General features: G+C 38.6%; 1 protein-coding gene across 27 annotated transcripts in view; it reads right to left on the bottom strand.

The window, feature by feature from the left end:
• The window catches only part of MBD5 (methyl-CpG binding domain protein 5), a 496,045-nt gene that overhangs the window by 196,432 nt on the left and 277,967 nt on the right, over positions 1-21,646 (bottom strand). The window contains exon 1 of one of the 27 annotated variants that reach the window (XM_047445081.1): positions 7,443-7,587. The exons of the other annotated variants lie outside the window; for them this stretch is intronic. The gene's annotated coding sequence lies outside the window, so the exon portion shown is untranslated. Of the gene's footprint in view, positions 1-7,442; positions 7,588-21,646 lie in introns of those variants that run through there. 27 annotated transcript variants of the gene reach the window in all.

The following is a 21,646-nucleotide window of genomic DNA, read 5'->3' as shown; positions in this document are numbered from 1 at the left end:
TACAAAAAATACAAAAATTAGCTGGGCATGGTGGCACATGCACCTGTAGTCCCAGCTACTTGGGAGGGTGAAATGGGAGGATCACCTGAGCCTGAGAGGTCGAGGCTGCAGTGAACCATAACTCAGGCTGTCACTCCAGCCTGAGTGTCAGAGTGAGATTCTGTCAAACAACCAAACCACAACAAAAAGCAAAAACAACAACAACAACAACAAACCCAAACTCCCAATAAAACAAAAGTGCAGGAGCAGATGAAAATCGAGGAGGAGGTAATTCTATCTAACTCATTCTATGAGGTCTGTATGGCACTGAAACCAGACAAGGACACAACAACAACAAAACTACAGACCAATATTCCTGATGAAGATACATGCAAAAATCTTCTACAAAAAACTAGCAAATAGAATGCCAACAACACATCAAAAACATAACATACCATGATTAGGTAGGATTTATGCAAAGATGATTCAACATACACAAATCAATAAATGTGATACATCACAAAACGAACTAAGAACAAGAATCATATGATCATCTTAATAGATGCAGAAAAGGCATTCAATAAAATTCAGCATCCCTTCATGATAAAAATCCTCAACAAACTAGGCATAGAAGAAACACACTTCCAAATAACAAAGGCCATATATGACAGTCCCAGAGCCAACATCATACTTGGTGGGGAAAATTTGAAAGAATTGCCTCTAAGAAGTGAAACAAGATAAGGATGCCCACATTCACCATTCTTATTCCACACAGTACCGGAAGTCCTTGCCACAGCAATCAGGAAACATAGAAAAATAAAAGGTATCTGAATTGGAAAACAGAAATTCAAATTATCCCTGTTCACTGATGATATGATCTTATATCTAGCAAATTCTAAAGACTCCACCAAAAACCTCTTAGATTTGATCAATGAATCCAGTAAAGTTTCAGGATACAAAATTACCATACAGATATCAGTAGCATTTCTATGTGCCAATAATGATATAGTAAAGGACCAAATGAAGAAGGCAATCCCATTTACAATAGCTACAAAAAACCACTCAAAAACCTAGAAATATATTTAACCAAGGTGAGATATCTCTATAAACAGAACTACAAAACACTGATGAAAAAATCTTTGATGACACAAACAAATGGAAAAACATCCTACGCTCATGGATTGGAAGAATCAGTATTGTTAAAATGACCAGACTGCCCAAAGCAATCTACAGATTCATTACAATCCCTATCAAATTAGCAGCACCATTTTTCACAGAATTAGAAAAAACAATCCTAAAATTAATATGGGTCTAAAAAATAAGACCCCAAATAGCCAAATCAATTGTAAGCAAAAAGAATGAAGCTGGAGATGTCACATGACCTGACTCCGGTTTACACTACAAGGCTATAGTAACCAAAATAGCATGGTACTGGTATAAAAATAGATACAAAGATTAATGGATCAGAATAGAGAACCCAGAAATAAAGCCATACACATATAACCAACTGATCTCCAACAAAGTCAACAAAAATATACACTGAGAGGCTGGGTGCAGTGGCTCATGCCTGTAATCCCAGCACTTTGGGAGGCCGAGACTAGCAGATCACTTGAGGCCAGGAGTTCCACACTACCCTGGCCAACACAGTGAAACCCTGTCTCTACTACAAATAAAAGAATTAGCCGGGCATGATGGCGCATGTCTGTAATCCCAGCTACTAGGGTGGCTGAGGCATGAGAACACTTGAACGCAGGAGGCAGAGGTTGCAGTGAGCCGAAATTGCACCACTGCACTTCAGCCTGGGAAAGAGTGAGATTCTGTCTCAAGAAGAAACCAAAATACACTGGAGAAAGTACATCCTATTCAACAAGGGGTACTGGGAAAATTGGATAGCCATATGCGTAAGAATTTTTGTATATCACCATATACAAAAATTAACTCAAGATGGATTAAATATCTAAATGTAAGATTGGGAACTATAAAATCCTAGAAGAAAACCGAGGAAATCTCTTCTGAACATTGACCTAGACAAAGAATTTATGAGTAAGTTCTCAAAGACAAATGCCAGAAAAAGAAAAATAGACAAATAGGACTAAATTAAACTAAAAAGATTCTGCACATCAAAAGAAACAATTAACAGAGAAAACAGACAATCTATAGAATGGGAAAAAATTTTGTAAACTCTGCATCCAAATAAAGGGCTAACATCCAGAATCTACAAGGAGCTCAAACAACTCACAAGAAAAATAATTAAAAAAAAAAACATTAAGAAGTAGGCAAAGTAAATGAGCAGACATTATTCAAAAGCAGATATACAAGTGGCTAACAAACACACGAAAAAATGCTCAACATCACTAATCATCAGAGAAATAAAAATTAAAACCACAATGAGATGCCATCTTACACCAGTCAGAAGGGCTATTACTAAAAAGTGAAAAAACAACAGATGTTGCAGAGGATGGGGATAATAGAAAATATGTATACACCATTGGTAGGAATGTAAATTAGTACAACCTTTATGGAAATTGGTATGGAAAGTTCTTCAAGAACTAAGAATAGAACTACAATTCAACCTAGCAATTCCACCACTGAGTATATACCCAATGGGAAAGAAATCATTATATCAAAAAATACCTGCACTCGTGTTCATTGCAGCACTATTCACAAAGCAAAGATGTGGAATCAACTTAAGTGTCCATCATCAGAGGACTGGATAAAGAAAATGTGGTATATATATGCCATGGAATACTACTCAGCCATAAAAAAGAATGAAATCATGTCTTTTGCAGCAACATGGGTGGAACTGGAGGTCATTACAGCTAAGTGAAATAACTCAGACAGAGAAAGTAAAATGCTGCATGTTTTCACACAAGCGAGGACTAAATGACGGAAACACTTGGACATACAGAGTGGAATAATAGACACTAGAGACAACAAAAGGTGGGAGGGTGGGAAGGGATGAGGGTTGAAAAATTACTTATTGGGTACATTGTTCCTTATTTGGGTGACAAATACAATAAAAGCCCAGACTTTACCACTACACAATAAATGCATGTAAAAGTCTGCACTTGTACCCACTAAATATACTAAAATTAAAATAATTTTTTAAAAATAATTACTTTGGCCCCATCTATTACTTTAGAGGCTTTAAACATGGTTCTTTAGATGTGGTTAACTCAATTTTTTTTTTTGAGGCGGAGTTTCGCTCTTGTTGCCCAGGCTCGAGTGCAATGGTGTGTTCTCGGCTCACTGCAACCTCTGCCTCTCGGGTTCAAGTGATTCTCCTGCCTCAGCCTCCTGAGTAGCTGGGATTACAGGCATGCGCCACCATGCCTGGCTAATTTTGTATTTCTTAATTTATTTATTCATTTTTTAGTAGAGACAGGGTTTCTCCATATTGGTCAGGCTGGTCTTGAACTCCCGACCTCAGGTGATCCACCCACCTTGGCCTCCCAAAGTGCTGGGATTACAGGTGTGAGCCACTGCTTTATACTGGAGTTTTGGGATAATATTAATCTCCTTTTTAGCATGGTTTAAGTTGTGAAGAAAATTGTCTATGCTTTCAAGTACCCTGATGCTTTTCCCATTAAGTGAAGATGTGTAACTTTAGTCCCATCTAAATGCTTTTAAAACCTCAAAACAATAAATAACAAAGCACAAGCTCAACACAAAAAACTGACCTGGTCTGAAAGACTAATCAACTTAATCTTACTTCTGAATATTCTTGACTTTTCTTATTACCAAACACTCTGATGTAAAATAAGCTTCTATCTTGTATGTACAATTTTCCTCCTTTTTCCTTTTAAAAATATTTTTATTATTAACCATCAACTTCATTTTTTTAATTTGTTCATCCATTCATTTATTATTGTAAGAAGTATTTATTGGATATCAACTATGAACCAAGTATTATGCTAGATTCTGGGTTTAATTTTTTTAAGAAATATGATGATTTTATTTAAGAAATGTAAAGTATCACTACACTTTAACTTAAATCTTGAGTCACTGAATGGGTCTATTTCAAGGGTTATAATGTTATATTACTGGTGGGAACAACTCCTAAATGCCCACTGATTTGGTAGCAAGCTGAGGATATGAGATTGCATATAATAAATAAGAAACTATAAATACATGTTTACTTTCATCTTATATACCCAATGTAATCTACATGCTTCTCAGCATGACAAACTCTTCCTTAAAACATTTACAAGACCTACTCATACAAATATCAAGAATATAGACTATTATATAATAAGTATCAAGTAAGTTTTATAGGAATTCAGAGTCCTGATTGGGGTAGTCAGGAAAAGCAGGTGTTGTGATTTGGATTTGTGTCCCCATCCAAATCTCATGTCAAATTGCAATCACCAGTGTTGGAGGAGTGCCCTGGTAGGAGGTGATTGGATCATGGGGGTAGATTTTCCCCTGGCTGTTCTCATGATAAGAAGTGAGTTCTCATGAGATCTGGTTGTTTAAAAGTATGTAGCACCAGCCTCTTTGCTCTCTTCCTCCTACTCTGACCATGTAACACATGCCTGCTTCCCCTTCACCTTCTACAATGATTTTAAGTTTCTTGAGGCTTCCCCAGCCATGCTTCCTGTACAGCCTATGGAACTGTGAGTCAATCAAACCACTTTTCTTTATGAAGTACCCAGTCTTAGGCAGTTCTTTACAGTTATGTGAGAACGGACTAATGAAACTGGTGTTAAAATTAGTCTTGAAGATTAGCACGAAGTAAAGAGGGAAGATACTCCAAGTAGGGAGAAAGGACAAAAGTAAAGATACATGGGTGGTATACATTATAAGACATCTTCAGAATGCAGTGCCTGGTACATGGTGGGCATGTTGTAAATAATTGTAGATGGGTAGAGGAATGGATTTATCAGAGGATTAATGGAGGGAAACAGCAATATATAAGATGGGAAGGTTGGACTGGGGCCAGATAATTGAGGGTCTTAAAAATAAGCAAAGTCACCTAAAATGTATTCTGTATACTTGGGCTCTTCAAGTAGAAATATATACCTCATGGTCCACTGGAAGGCCCAGGATAAACATGAAGCATCTTCCCGACTCTTCAATTTTACTTGAACATTTGAAGAATTAAGTGAAGAAATTTAAGTGATACCTGATTTAAAACATTATTTTTATATTAAAACAAACAGATGTATTTTGGAGTGAAATGTAAAATGTGTGAATTTTTAATGTAAAACAAGAGACTTCAAGGAAATATTGAGCTTGTGGTGAGGTGCTTTCAGCTATGCTACCTTTGTTTACATCCTTTTCTGGCAGTGGATATGTGGGACCGTAAGAGGGATTTCAGCAAGGTAGTAACAGGATTAAAATGATGATTTACTTATACTAATGTAGCAGCAGGATGCAGGTTGGTCTAGAATATGGAGATGAACAATCTGTAACCTAGCTAAAGAACTATGGAAAAAGTTCCTTTGACCAAATTTTAATCAAGCTCCTCTGAGTCCTCTTTTTAACTAGGCTCCAATCTTGGGCTCTGTTCTTAGTCCCCCTCTCCTCAGAAAAAGAAAAGAAGGAAAAAAAGATAATGGGTAGCTTTGTTTAATGTCTCATGAAATATCCATGAACAATACAAACATAGTTGTTACAAACAAGTGAATTGAATGGATATAAGTCGATAAAAGCTTATAAATGAGCTTTTCAGTAATAACCATCCCTAAAATAACCATATATATATATGCCTAAAAACAGTTGCCAACTGTTTTGGTAACTTGAAACTTTAGAGTTATGCTATGTTGAGTAAGAGATAGTTACTGAATATCTAAATAATTTCTAAGAAAGAAAAAACTACTGAAACAGGCTGGGTACAGTGGCAGACGTCTGTAATCCCAGCACTTGTCTATGGCCATACCACCCTGAATGCGCTGGATCTCGTCTGTAATCCCAGCACTTTGGGAGGCCGAGGAGGGTGGATCACCTGAGGCCAGGAGTTAGAGACCAGCCTGGCCAAAATGGTGAAACCCCATCTCTACTAAAATTACAGAAAATTAGCTGGGAGTGGTGGCACTGCCGGTAATCCCAGCTACCTGGGGGGCTGAGATAGGAGAATCCCTTAAACCTGGGAGGTGGAGGTTGCAGTGAACCGAGATGGTGCCACTGCATTCCAGCCTGGGCAACAGAGTGAGACTCTGTCTCAAAAAAAAAAAAAAAAAAACCATAACACTGAAACATTAATTGCTGAACATAAGTTTATAAACTTTTGGCATCTTGTTTTCATACAATATAAAGAAGTTAAGATATCTAGGTCTGTAAAAAAAAAATTTCCTTTTGCCACATGAAAAACTATAGTATGAGGAAGCGTATGTCTGTAGGAATTGTGAGATGATATGTTTATAAAATGCTGATCTATGACAGACAGTTTACAGTTTTCTACTTCCTAGTTTTCTCTGTAAGGAAAAGACTACTGATGGCTAAAAAGTACAAGCAGGGTGGCTGGCAAGATGACCGAATAGGAATAGCTCCGATCTGCAGCTCCCAGCGAGAACAATGCAGAAGGCGGGTGATTTCTGCATTTCCAACTGAGGTATCCAACTTACCACATTGAGATTGGTCAGACAGTGGGTGCAGCCCATGGAGGGCAAGCAGAAGCAGGGTGGGGCGTTGCCTCACCCAGGAAGTACAAGGGGTCAGAGAACTCCCTCCCTTAGCCACGGGAAGGATTGAGGGACTGTGCCATTAGGAACAGTGCATTCCAGCCCAGATACTCTGCTTTTCCCATGGTCTTCACAACCTGCAGACCAGGAGATTCCCTTGGGTGCCTACACCACTAGGGCCCTGGGTTTCAAGCAAAAATGGGGCAGCCATTTGGGTAGACACTGAGCTAGCTGCAGGAGATTTTGTTCATACCCCAGTGGTGCCTGGAATGCCAATGAGACAGAACCGTTCACTCCCCTGGAAAGGGGGCTGAAGTCAGGGAGCCAAGTGGTCTAGCTCAGTGGATCCCACTCCCACAGAGCCCAGTAAGTTAAGATCCACTGGCTTGAAATTCTCGTGGCCAGCAGAGCAGTCTGAAGTCAACCTGGGAGGCTCGAGCTTGGAGCAGGGAGGTGCGTCTGCTTGAGTAGGTGGTTTTACCCTCACAGTGTAAACAAAGCTGCCTGGAAGTTTGAACTGGGCGAAGCCCACCACAGCTTGGCAAAGCCGCTGTAGCCAGACTGCCTCTCAAGATTCCTCCTCTCTGAGAACAGCATCTCTGAAAGAAAGGCAGCAGCCCCAGTCAGGGGCTTATACATAGAACTCCCACCTCCCTGGGACAGAGCACCTGGGGGAAGGGGCAGCTGTGGGCGCAGCTTCAGCAGATATAAATGTTCCTGCCTGCCACCTCTGAAGACAGCAGCAGATCTCCCAGCACAGTGCTCGAGTTCTGCTAAGGGATAGACTGCCTCCTCAAATGGGTCCCTGATCCCCGTGCCTCCTGACTGGGAGATACCTACCAGCAAGGGTCGACAGACACCCCATACAGGAGAGCTCCAGCTGGCATCTAGCGGGTGCCACTCTGGGACGAACCTTCCAGAGGAAGGAACAGGCAGCAATCTTTGCTGTTCTGCAGCCTCTGCTGGTGATACCCAGCGAAACAGGGTCTGGAGTGGACCTCCAGCAAACTCCAGCAGACCTGCAGCAGAGGAGCCTGACTGTTAGAAGGAAAACTAACAAACCGAAAGGAATAGCATCGACATCAACAAAAAGGACAACCACACAGAAACCCCATTTGAAGGTCACCAACATCAAAGACCAAAGGTAGATAAATCCAGGAAGACAAGGAAAAACCAGCTCAAAAAGGCTGAAAATCCCAAAAACCAGAATGCTTCTCCTCCATAGGATCACAACTCCTCACCAGCAAGGGAACAAAACTGGACAGAGAACAAGTCTGACAAATTGACGGAAGTAGGCTTCAGAAGGTGGGTAATAACAAACACCTCTGAGCTAAAGGAGCATGTTCTAACCCAATGCAAGGAAGCTAAGGACCTTGAAAAAAGGTTACAGGAATTGCTAAGTAGAATAACCAGTTTAGAGAAGAACACTAATGACCTGATGGAGCTGAAAAACACAGCACAACAACTTCATGAAGTATACACAAGTATCAATAGCCGAATCGATCAAGTGGAAGAAAGGATATCAGAGATTGAAGATCAACTTAATGAAATAAAGTGTGAAAACAAGATTGGAGAAAAAAGAATGAAAAGGAACGAACAAAGCCTCCAAGAAATATGGGACTATGTGAAAAGACCAAACCTGCGTTTGATTGGTGTACCTGAAAGTGATGGGAAGAACGCAACCAAGTTGGAAAACACTCCTCAGGATATTATCCAGGAGAACGTCCCCAACCTAGCAAGGGAGGTCAACATTCAAACTCAGGAATTACAGAGAACACCACAAAGATACTCCTTGAGAAGAGCAACCACAAGACACATAATGGTCAGATTCACCAAGGTTGAAATGAAGGAAAAAATGTTAAGGGCAGCCAGAGTGAAAGGTCAAGTTACCCACAAAGGGAATCCCATCAGATTATCAGCAGCTGTCTCTGCAGAAATCCTGCAAGCCAGAGGAGAGTGGGGTCCAATATTCGACATTCTTAAAGAAAAGAATTTTCAACCCAAAATTTCATATGCAACCAAACTAAGCTTCCAAAGCGAAGGAGAAACAAAATACTTTACAGACAAGCAAATGCTGAGAGATTTTATCACCACCAGGCCTGCCTTACAAGAGCTCCTGAAGGAAGCACTAAATACGGAAAGGAAAAACCGGTATCAGCCACTGCAAAAACATAACAAATTGTAAAGTCCATCGACACTATGAAGAAACTGCATCAACTAACAGGCAAAATAACCAGCCAGCATCATAATGACAGGATCAAATTCAGACATAACAATATTACCCTCAAATGTAAACAGGCTAAATGCCCTAATTAAAGGACACAGACTGGCAAATTGGAGAAAGAGTCAGGACCCATCAGTGTGCTGTATTCAGGAGACCCATCTCACATGCAAACACACACATAGGTTCAAAATAAAGGGATGGAGGAATATTTACTAAGCAAATGGAAAGCAATAAAAAGCAGGGGTTGCAATCCTAGTCTCTGATAAAACAGACTTTAAACCAACAAAGGTAAAAAAAGACAAAGAAGGGCTTTACATAATGGTAAAAGGATCAATGCAACAAGAAGAGCTAACTAACCTAATATATATGCACCTAATAACAGGAGCACTGAGAGATTCATAATGCAAGTTCTTAGAGACCTACAAAGAGACTTAGACTCCCACACAATAATAGTGGGAGACTTTAATGCCCCACTGTCAATATTAGACAGATCAGCTAGACAGAAAATTAACAAGGATATTCAGGACTTGAACTCAGCTCTGGACCAAGCCGACCTAATAGACATGTACAGAACTCTCTACCCCAAATCAACAGAATACACATTCTTCTCAGCATCACATAGCACTTATTCTAGAATTGACCACATAATTAGAAGTAAAACACTCCTCAGCAAATGCAAAAGAACAGAAATTATAACAAACAGTCTCTCAGACCACAGTACAATCAAATTAGAACTCAGGATTAAGAAACTCACTCAAAACCACACAACTACATGAAAACTGAACAACCTGCTCCTGAATGACTACTGGGTAAATAATGAAATCAAGGCAGAAATAAAGATGTTCTTTGAAACCAGTGAAAATAAAAACACAATGTACCAGAATCTCTGGGACAAAACTAAAGCAGTGTTTAGGGGGAAATTTATAGGACCAAATGCCCATAGAAGAAAGCAGGAAAGATCTAAAATTGACACCCTAACATCACAATTAAAAGAACTAAGAAGTAAGAGCAAACAAATTCAAAAGCTAGCAGAAGACAAGAAATAACTAAGATCAGAGCAGAACTGAAGGATAGAGAGACACGAAAAACACTTCAAAAAAAATCAATGAATCCAGGAGCTGGTTTTTTGAAAAGATTAACAAAATACATAAATCACCAGCCAGACTAATAAAGAAGAAAAGAGAGAAGAATCAAATAGACACAATAAAAAATGATAATGGGGATATTACCACTGATCCCCCAGAAATACAAACTACCATCAGAGAATACTATAAACACCTCTAAATAAATAAACTAGAAAATGTAGAAGAAATTGATAAATTCCTGGACACATACACCTTCCCAAGACTAAATTAGGAAGAAGTCGAATCCCTGAATAGAGCAATAACAAGTTCTGAAATTGAGGCAGTAATTAATAGCTTACCAACCAAAAAACCCCAGGAACAGATGGATTCACAGCCGAATTCTACCAAAGGTACAAAAAGGAGCTGGTACCATTCCTTCTGAAACTATTCCAAACAATAGAAAAGGAGGGACTCCTTCATAACTCATTTTATGAGGGCAGCATCACTCTGATACAAAAACCTGGCAGAGACACAACAGAAAAAGAAAATTTCAGGCCAATATCCCTGATGAACATCAATGCAAAAATCCTCAATAAAATACTGGCAAACTGAATCCAGCAGCACATCAAAGAGCTTATCCACCATGATCAAGTTGGCTTTATCCCTGGGATGCAAGGCTGGTTCAACATTGTAAATCAATAAACATAATCCATCACTTAAACAGAAACAATGACAAAAACCACATAGATGCAGAAAAGGCCTTTGATAAAATTCAACAACCCTTCATGCTAAAAACTCTCAATAAACTAGGTATTGATGGAATGTATCTCAAAATAATAAGAGCTATTTATGACAAACCTACAGCCAATATCATACTGAATGGGCAAAAGCTGGAAACATTCCCTTTGAAAACTGGCACAAGAGAACCATGCCCTCTCTCTCCATTCCTATTCAGGAATTTGAATTCGATATAGTATTTGAAGTTCTGGCTGGGGCAATCAGGCAAGAGAAAGAAATAAAGAGTATTCAAATAGAAAGAGAGGAAGTCAAATTGTCTCTGTTTGCAGATGCCATGACTTTATATTTAGAAAACCCCATTGTCTCAGCCCAAAATCTCCTTAAGCTGATAAGCAACTTCAGCAAAGTGTCAGGATACAAAGTCAACATGCAAAAATCACCCTATACACCAGTAACAGACAGACAGCCTAATCATGAGTGAACTCTCATTCACAGTTGCTACAAAGAGAATAAAATACCTAGGAATACAACTTACAAGGGACGTGAAGGACCTCTTCAGGGAGAATTACAAACCACTGCTGAAGGAAATAAAAGAGGAGACAAGCAAATGGAAAAGCATTCCACGTTCATGGATAGGAAGAATCAATATCGTGAAAATGGCCATACTGCCCAAAGTAATTTATAGATTCAATGGTATCTCCACCAATCTACCATTGACTTTCTTTGCAGAATTAGAAAAAACTACTTTAAATTTCATGTGGAACCAAAAAAGAGCCCATATAGCCAAGTCAATCCTTAGCAAAAAGAACAAAGCTGTAGGCATCATGCTACTTGACTTCAAACTATACAACAAGGCTACAGCAACCAAAACAGCATGATACTGGTACCAAAACAGATATATAGACCAATGAAACGGAACAGAGGCCTCAGAAATCATGCCACACATCTACAACTATCTGATCTTTGACAAAGCTGACAAAAACAAGCAATGGGGAAAGGATTCCCTATTTAATAAATGTTGTTAGGAAAACTGGCTAGCCATTTGCAGAAAACTGAAACTGGACCCCTTCCTTACACTTTATAGAAAAATGAACTTAGGATGGATTAAAGACTTATATGTAAGACCTAAAACCATAAAAACCCTAGAAGAAAACCTATGCAATACCATTCAGGGCATAGGCATGGGCAAAGACTTCAAGACTAAAATACCAAAAGCAATGCCAAAAAAGCCAAAATTGACAAACGGGGTCTAATTAAACTAAAGAGTTTCTGCACAGCAAAAGAAACTCTCATCAGAGTGAACAGCCCACCTACAGAACGCAAGAAAATGTTTGCAACCTATTCACCTGACAAAGGGCTAATATCCAGAATCTACAGGGAACTTAACCCCATCAAAAAAAAAAAAAAAAAAAAAAAAAAAGAAAGAACCCCATCAAAAAGTGGGAGAAGTATATGAACAGACACTTCTCAAAAGAAGACATTTATGAGGTCAACAAACATATGAAAAAAACTCATTATCACTGGTCATTAGAGAAATGTAAATCAAAACCACAATGAGATACCATCTCATGCCAGTTAGAATGGCAATCATTAAAAAGTCAAGAAACAACGGATGCTGCAGAGGATGTGGAGAAATAGGAACGCTTTTACACTGTGGTGGGAGGGTAAATTAATTCAACCATTGTGGAAAACAGTGTGGTGATTCCTCAAGGATCTAGAACTAGAAATACCATTTGACCCAGCAATCCCATTACTAGGTATATACCCAAAGGATTATATATCACTCTATTATAAGGACACATGCACACATATGTTTACTGCAGCACTGTTCACAATAGCAAAGACTTGGAACCAACCCAAATGCCCATCAGTGATAGACTAGATAAAGAAATTGTGGCATATATACACCATGGAATACTATGCAGCTGTAAAAAAAAGTGAGTTAATGTCCTTTGCAGGGACATGGATGAAGCTGGAAACCATCATTCTCAGCAAAGTAACACAGGAACAGAAAACCAAACACCACATGTTCTCACTTACAAGTGGGAACTGAACAATGAGAACATATGGTCACAGGGAGGGGAACATCACACACCTGGGTCTGTCAGTGGGTCGGGGGCTAGGGGAGGGATAGCATTAGGAGAAATACCTAATGTAGATGACGGGTTGATGGGTGCAGCAAACCACCATGGCATGTGTATACCTATATAATAAACCTGTACGTTCTGCACAAGTATCCCAGAACTTAAAGTATAATAAAAAAAGTATAAGCAATATATGTAATTTAAACTACTAGAAATAATAAAGGTAAAGGGAAACAACTTTGTGTGCAAAATGTGTAAGAAAAGTAAGATGTGTTTTTAGTAAGAAACAGTATAAAAGATTTAAAAATGTGTTTTCACTGAGGAAAAAGGGAGTTTTCTACTACAGTAAGATGACTGTTGTTTTAGGATGTGAAAGAGGAAAAGAGTATGATAAAAACTGAATGGATGTAAAATGGTTGTAAAAGTTTGTGAAAAAGAAATTTTGTATAATCAAGTTGCTAAGATTGGATGGATTTACTTATAAAGTTCTTTAAAAAAATAGAGCTCATAATTTTCTGATGAAAAGCTACAATTGGGTTTTCTCTTTGTTAAAAGAATAAAGTTTTCTAGTCTGTTTGTTTTCAATTACTTAAAAAACCTAAGTCTTATCAATTTTAAAAGACCTAAGGTTTCTTTTTTACAATTATGTAAATTTCTGTATTTGCCTGCAAAACCTTTTATAATTACTTTGGTTAAATAAACAACTAAGTATTGTTTCACAGTGACCTGTGATCCCATTTAATCAAGTGTTCCAACTTTTAACATTTTTGACAAAGTTCCCCAAATCAAATCCTAAATGCTCTAATCTTGTAAAAAGAAGGATGTTACCCTACATTGGTGTATTTGACATGTTAAATTACAAGGAAGCACTGTCAAATAAAATGTGATGTTTAAGCTTATTTATTTTCTATTTCTATGAGTATATGTCATTGATATAAATATTCCAGAAATTGTATGACATTCATAGGACTTTGCCAAAATCCTCTTTTCTGGTTATTATTGTTGTGTGTCACAGAAACAACCAAATTCTCTTTTCAAATAAATTGTTATCAGACCCTTAGAAGTTGATGGGTTCATAAAACTATTAATTCAAGATCAAGCAGAACAAAAATTAATTACATGAGACTGAATGAACTAATTTTTATTAGGTTTTGTTTGAAACATTGCTGGTTCTTTGTTGTTTTGTTTTCCATATTTAAAGAAACCTTTTTCTCTTAAACTATCTATAACTTAGAGCAATCTTACAGATTATGTCTTTGTAAACAAAACGAAACATTTATTTTTTTCTCCCTGCCTAATCTCTCCAAAATATGGATACTATTATTGAGTATTATTATTTTTATGGCAATATAGTTGTTTGTATAAGTTCAATAAAATATGTTTTTATTATAGCAGGACAGAGCTGGAAACATTGATTACATTACCAAGGCTTTGACTGGAATGGCATATTTTAGAATGAAGTACACAGAATCAGATATGACTAAACAGATTTAAGAAACTAGAGTCAACTTTATAAGCCAATGCTTACAAAGCCCTCTTAAGATACCAGCCTGGTACCTGGCTTACAGGGTTCCCGTTCTTACAATTGAATACAGAAGTCTCTTCCTGGGAGGCCCAGGAAACTCTGGATACCTTGGTGACTTAGAGAAGAGAGGAATTCACTTAAATCTGTAGGCGTAATAGGTGGCAAAATCTGGTGGTGAGTTCTTGGCTTGCTATCCTAGCCTGGGTTTTAAAAGTTTAATCTGAGATTCCTTATGAAAAGTTCAAACAAAGCAAATTTTAAAAGCCTATGTGATCAATTACCATTCTTGCCATGCTTATTTAAATAATCAGGTCAAATCTAATGACACTAGATTTATTTTGTAATAAAAAATTAAAAAGGGGGGAGATTGTAAAAAATTTTGTTTCACTGGAAAACTATAGTGGACCTGTTATTAGATTCTAGCTCTGTTCACTGTCTTTGAGGTTTCATTATATACTTGTAAACTGGACGGGATCCAGAATTCCTCTAGTTTCCTTTGATATCTGGCTACAACTGTCCAAACTAACATTCTAATTTTTTCTCCCATCCTTCTGCTTTGGCATCACTAAGAACTAAAACTGCCATTTTCCCAAAGCTCTGCAAGCTGAGGCTGGACAACTTGACATGAACTTCAAACAAATTACCATAACAGATTGTGTGCAGGCGACATCATGCCTGCTGCTGTTTGGGCCCCTCAGAAAGTTCACCCGATGTCATCGCTAAACACATTCAAACTGCAAACCAGGAAATGTGTGGGGTTGCTTCTCTCACCCTCAGTCGACCATTTAAAGATGCTTTGAGCCCAATAACCAGAAATCTTCTTGACTGGCTGCCCTCTGGACACAGAAACTGGGTTTGTAGACATTAATCTTGGTTTTTCTTTTTCTGTTTCATAGAAATGCCACTCATTAAATGCCTGATTGTTCATACCATCCGGCAGACATCCTCTACCAAATGAGGAATGGACTTTTATTATTTAAAGAAAAGAAGATTGACTCTTCTTTCCTTTGAACAACAGGGAGGATTGACAGAAACTCTCTCCTTTGACTAAACGTTAGGCTCCTCTGAGTCCTCCTCTTAACAAGGCTTCAATCTTGGGCTCCATCCTTAGTCTAGTGACTCTGACTGTTTAGTCTACTTTAAGCAAGTATCCTGCTGGATCAGTTTAGCAAAAATCTCCCATCCTTGATATCTGATCAAATGGCCTGCCTTTTATTTTATTTTATTTTTTTTTTTTTGAGACGGAGTCTCGCTCTGTCGCCCAGGCTGGAGTGCAGTGGCGGGATCTCGGCTCACTGCAAGCTCCGCCTCCCGGGTTCACGCCATTCTCCTGCCTCAGCCTCCCAAGTAGCTGGGACTACAGGCGCCCGCCACTACGCCCGGCTAATTTTTTGTATTTTTAGTAGAGACGGGGTTTCACCGTTTTTTTAGCCGGGATGGTCTCGATATCCTGACCTAGTGATCCGCCCGCCTCGGCCTCCCAAAGTGCTGGGATTACAGGCGTGAGCCACCGCGCCCGGCGTGCCTTTTAAAATAACCCTGTCAAGTCAGTTCAGCCAGAATTCTCCTTGCCTCTGATGTTTCCTTTCAGTAATTTTCCATCCACTGACACCCACTCTGCTCCTTGGGTATAGATACCCACTGCCCTTATTGGAGTTAGAGTTGGGCCCAATCTCTCTCTCCCACTGCAGTCCCCAATGCAGTAGTCCCTTGAACATATTGTCTTATCAAATGTCATCCATAATATTTTTCTTTAACGTAGTCCAGAATAGTAGCTATTAGAATGAAAAGAAGCTTGAAAAGCTTTATTAAGGATGTTGGTATTTCAACTAATTTTGCAACCCACAATGTACTAGAATTGATTCAGTGATGCTAGACTTTTTTTTTTATATTGAGAAGCAGTTTGCTGCTGGTTAAGTACTGACTCTTGTGCCAGAACGCCTGGGATTAAATTTTGGCTCAGGTACTTACTTACTGTGGCACTTTTGTGCAAATTGCTTAACTGTTGTGTGCCTGCATTTCCTCACCTATTTCTTGATGTTAATATTACCTATTTAATTAGATTGCTTTGAGGATTAAATGAATTAATATATGTAAAACACTTAAAACAGTGCCTGGGTACAGTAAATACTGTTTAAGTGTTAGCTGCTATTATTATTATTACTACTTACATTGACTCTCATCTTTCCTGAGATTTCAGACTCCTAGGAATCGGGGAGATCTGCAGTGTGGATATATGGCTGTGGAAAATCTCTGAGTCCTGGAATATCAGCTGAGAGATTGATGAGGGCATTATAAGTTGGCTCAGTTCATCAGCGTTAGGCTTTGAGGTCATTTGTACTCTATTGCCCCCTCATTACTTTAAAGGTTTCTTTTGAGCTTTAATCTCTATTAAAAATGTCCACATCAAGTGTTTCTGACACCTAATAAAATTAGATTTATTTGATACCAGTAAATATTTTCTTACAAATAATTTTTGATAACAAAAAAAGAAAAAGATATACAAATCTATTCAGAGTGAGCAAACTATATTTGCAACATGCTGTATATTGTGATGTATTACAATCTACTGGTAGGTTTGATTAGGTTGAACCACATGAAATTGTCCATAATCAATCATTTTTGACTCACAAAAACGACAGATCTTTTCAAATTGTTAAACCTAATATTTCCTGAATTTTACTTTAGACAAAGAATATATGCTTTTATTTTTTCTTATTCATATTCTACACTTTTCTTTTTTTGTCAGTTAAAATAACTAAGAAATGATGTGGACAGATAAGGTCAACAACAGCAAACAAAATCATTCTTATATGAAATAACACTCTGGAACTGGAAAACTCCTCTTTGTCTTTGCCTTTAACCTCCAATACTTCCCCTTGCTCCCTGCTGTGCTGTTGTGGTAAGCCGGCTGGCCTGTCATGTAGCCACACAGACTTTTCCCTACCAACTTTGCATATATTAGCAACCAAATGCTGTGCCTTTGTTTAGAATATTGCTTTTTTAAGTATGCTTGGAAAGATTTTCTGGCAGGGCAACCTTATTCTTCAGAAGCTTAAATGGCTTGAATATACTAATTAACGAAACACCAAATTGTTTGTCTGATTTACTACTGAATGCCTTTTGTAATGATTTGCTGGATTTGCTAAAATTCAGAAGGTTCCACTTATTAAAAACCAATAGCAGCTCCAATTATTTTGCTGGCCATTAGCAATCTGGCAATCTGCAATCATTATTTCACTTTCTGAGACCAACTAAAAATATAAATAACATCTTCAAATTTTATTTTTGAATAGCTCTTCAAATAAATATATATAATATATATAATAATGTATAACATATAATGTATATATGATATAATGAAACATATACGCTTTAGTGTGGTATATCATTTTACTTTTCACTTTAGTTTGAAAAGAGTAAGATGAAAGCAACCGTGCTTTCAAAATAAAACAGAAGCCTGGGCAAGATAGTGACACCTCATCTCTAAAAAAATAAAAAAAAAATTAGCCAGGTAGGGTGGTGTACATTGTAGTGCCAGCTACTCGGAAGGCTGAGGTGGATCACTTGAAACCAGGAGGTTGAGGCTGCAGTGAGCCATGACAGCACCACTGCACACTAGTTTGGGTGACAGAGTAAGACCGTGTCTCCAGAAAACCCAGAAAAAAAACAAACAAAAACCCAAAACCGAAATGCTTTAATATCTGCATAGAAAAATAATCCAATCTAAGTCCCACATCTATATGTAATTAAATGGACTTGATATAAGTTTAAGTCTCTTCAGCAGAACATTGACTTTAAAAAATTACATCTCTATTAGCAAGAGCTATTAATAACAGCAAGAAGCATGGAGAAAATATTGCTCTAGCCTGTTCTGTGTCTTAGGTAGCTTTAAAGGTTAAAATAAAAGGCTTTTTGATGGGGAGGGAAAGTCCTCATTCCAGATTGCTCCAAAAGGAAAAAGTAAGCATTAATAGAAAGATCTGGTCTGGAGGCAGTGATCACTTGGAACAATAATACAGAACTTAACACTATGAGCAAATCACAAATCCAACTAAAATCACCAGTATTTTCCCACCTCCAATCTATTCTTCATGCCCACAGCAAGAGGATTTTTTTCAAAATATTAATCTGAGCATAATATCTGCCATTTATAAAGACTCAATAGCTTTATGTTATTTTTGAACTTAAAAATATCTTCACATGGTCTTATACAGCTAGTATTGTTACAGTAGGTAGCTAGTCAGACACGAGCAAGGCAGGAGAGGGCCCCCCATTCCCAACCAAGAATGTCAGGCAACCATCAGGTGAGAGTCAGGTGGATGGTCTGTCTCTCTAAAATAATAATTGGTCACAGCTGGTGCCAGGGAAAGGCAGTCTCCCAATAGATAGAAACACCTGAAACTGGTGATCAGCAGCTTTCTGATAAGATTTCAGGAGTTAGGCAAGTGGGGTCAAGCATGTACACTAAGAAGCAAAATGGCAGAGTTTAACTGGTATATGACCTTTTTCTAAGAACACTAGACTGCTAAAGAAAAGAATGCCTCAAGTGAGCACGTGTACAACTCCAGCAAATATACTATGCATATAGCCCCTCCCAAGTGCTGGCAGGCCACTGCTCATGAGGACAGCCCACCCCAAGGGAAGAATCAGGGGAAAAGGGACGTAATTCCCCTAGAAACATGCCAAGATATAAAATCCCAAGTCAAAGGTCAAACCGTGCACTTGATCTGTCAAATCACCTGTTTGGCCCTCTTCCAAGTGTACTTTACTTCCCTTCCTTCCTGCTCTAAAGCTTTTTAATAAACTTTCACTCCTGCTCTAAAATTTGCCTCAGTCTCCCACTCTGCTCTTATGCCCCTTTGTTGAATTATTTCTTCTGAGGAGGTAAGAATTAAGGTTGTTGAAAACCCATATGGATTCACCACTGCTAACAGTATGATTCAGTTACTTAATTCCTCTAACAATTTCCCATCCATTGACACTCTTCACCAGTTACTTCACTTTATCTTCCAGACACACTGTCCCTTTAGTCCCTGGTACCTTCTATGTTCCTTCCAGCTACACAGGCTACTGCTATGCTTTTCTGCCTAGAATGTGTTTTCTTTCCTTCTTGACTCAGTTAACTCATATTCTATTGGCAATTAACTATAAGATAGTTTGGTTTGTTGCTATATTGGCTTATGAATGAAGTGCTTTAGGGGCACAGAGGTGTCCCTCCATCTTAGTCACCAGCAATAGAAACCAACTTATAATTTCAGAAGAAAATACATTTATCAAAGGATAGGAAACACCTCACAGAATTCTTCAGGATGCTATAGAAACAGCTTTGGAAGTTACCCAACCAGGAAAGGAGCGTGCAGCATGCAATGCTACTGTCTGGAAGCTGCAGGATAGATGTTGCCACTATAATAACTTTTCTGTTATATTTGGAAACTGGAAGTAGCTGCTACTGCTACTTCAGAAATGAAGACTCCAGAAATGGAGTCTGTAGTCTACATTTTTTTCATGTCTCTAATTTTTGTTTCAAAGTCTGTGGTGAGTATGCCTGATTGGCAGTCCTGTTTATGGACTCATGCCCAATGTGTAACAGAGACTGGGAGAGTAAGTAGTTGGCATTTTAAGCCTGTAAGATAGAAAATGTCTCTGATTCAGAGTGTAGGGTACTCCCTAAACCCAGAAAAAGAGTTCTAATACTAATTATCCAAGAATAACAAATATCCACTAGCTGAGGAATACAGACAAAATTGAGAAAAACTTTTCAAGGAAGGTAATATTTTAGTTGTGTCTAGTTTTTTTTTTTCTTTCTTCTTTTTGTTAAGCAAGACTTTGTCAAGCAAAGGGAACAAGTGATGATAGGGAAGACACTGCAGGAAAAGAAGAGAGAATAGCATTGGATCTTAAGTAGCTTTAGAATCAAATGAAGAGCTTTCTAAAAAACAATCCCCATGCCCGGGCGCAATGGCTCATGTCTGTAATCCCAGCACTTTGGAAGGCCAAGGCAGGTGGATGATATGTCAGGAGTTCGAGACCAGCCTGGCCAACATGATGAAACCCTGTCTCTACTAAAAATACAAAAAATTAGCTGGATGTGGTGGTGGGCACCTGTAATCCCAGCTACTTGGGAGGCTGAGGCAGGGGAATTGCTCGAACCTGGGAGGCGGAGGTTACAGTGAGCTGAGATCGTGCCACTGCACTCCAGCCTGGGCAACAAGAGTGAAACTCCATCTCAAAAAAAAAAATCCCCAAATGTAGTCACTTATTCAATAGGTATGTACTGGGTCCCTGATATCTCATATTACTATTAGGATATTCTGTGACAATCATTTGGTTAAATATCTGTGAAAGCAAAAGCACTGACACATAAAATAGATGGTCTGCTTAAGAGAAAGCAGTAAGTTTTTGGCCCAGTATAAATGGAGCTCAGGGAGATCAGAGATGAGGCAAGAAAGCAAACTATGGGCAAATATAAAAGGTTATGACTGACTTCCTGAAGCATTTAAAGTGTACTCTACAGGTCCTCAGACATTTTTGAAAATGGAGATCATACATAATAGAAACTTGTTAACTCTGCATATGGGTAAAACATGACACTTCAGTGAACAAAATAGGAAATGACTGGATATCAGTTATTAAAACAAAACAAAACACCCCAGGAAATGGAATAAAACTGAGCCTTTTATATATCTTATATGCAGGCACCTGAAGGCTTAAGCAATAGATCCAGAAGGTCGGTCCTTCATTTTTCTCCGGTGAAACAGAATAGAGCATTAGTAGTCAATGAACATTTGGAGAGAATAGAGGGTTGCAGGAGCAAAGAAGAACTCCTAAAGTTACAAACAACTTTAGACAAAGTTCTTTAAAAAAGTTCTTTAGGCCAGGCATGGTGGCTCATTCCTGTAATCCCAGCAGTTTGGGAGGCTGAGGCAGGTGGACCACATGAGGCCAGGAGTTCAAGGCCAGCCTGACCAACAGGGAGGAAACCTGTCTCTACTAAAAATACAAAAATTAGCCGGGTGTGGTGGTGCATGCCTGGAATCCCAGCTACTCAGGAGCCTGAGGCAGAAGAATCGCTTGAACCTGGGAGGCAGAGGTTGCAGAGAGCCAGAACATATCACTGCACTCCAGCCTGGGCGACAGAGCTAGACTCTGTTTCAAAAAAAAAAAAGAAAGTTCTTTAAACAGAGGATGGAGCAAAGCTTACCTTCTGCTGGGAGGTTCTAGGAAGAAACTGCTAGAGAAGAAAAAGGGCCTGGCTTGGCCTAGCATATCCTGGGTTAACTGGGGGACCATCAAGGATGGGGAAAGGAGAAAGTTTCCCCATCCTTGCTTTGTCACACTGGATTTGGAGGCAGTAGCATGACTACAACTGAGATTGGCTGTAACCCAGAATTGCTTATTCTCTTTCC

This window comes from Homo sapiens, chromosome 2, assembly GCF_000001405.40.
Source record: "Homo sapiens chromosome 2, GRCh38.p14 Primary Assembly".
Classification (NCBI taxonomy): Eukaryota; Metazoa; Chordata; class Mammalia; order Primates; family Hominidae; genus Homo; species Homo sapiens.
The sequence above is the reverse complement of the archived record's forward strand: the minus strand, read 5'-3'. Positions and strand labels throughout refer to the sequence as shown.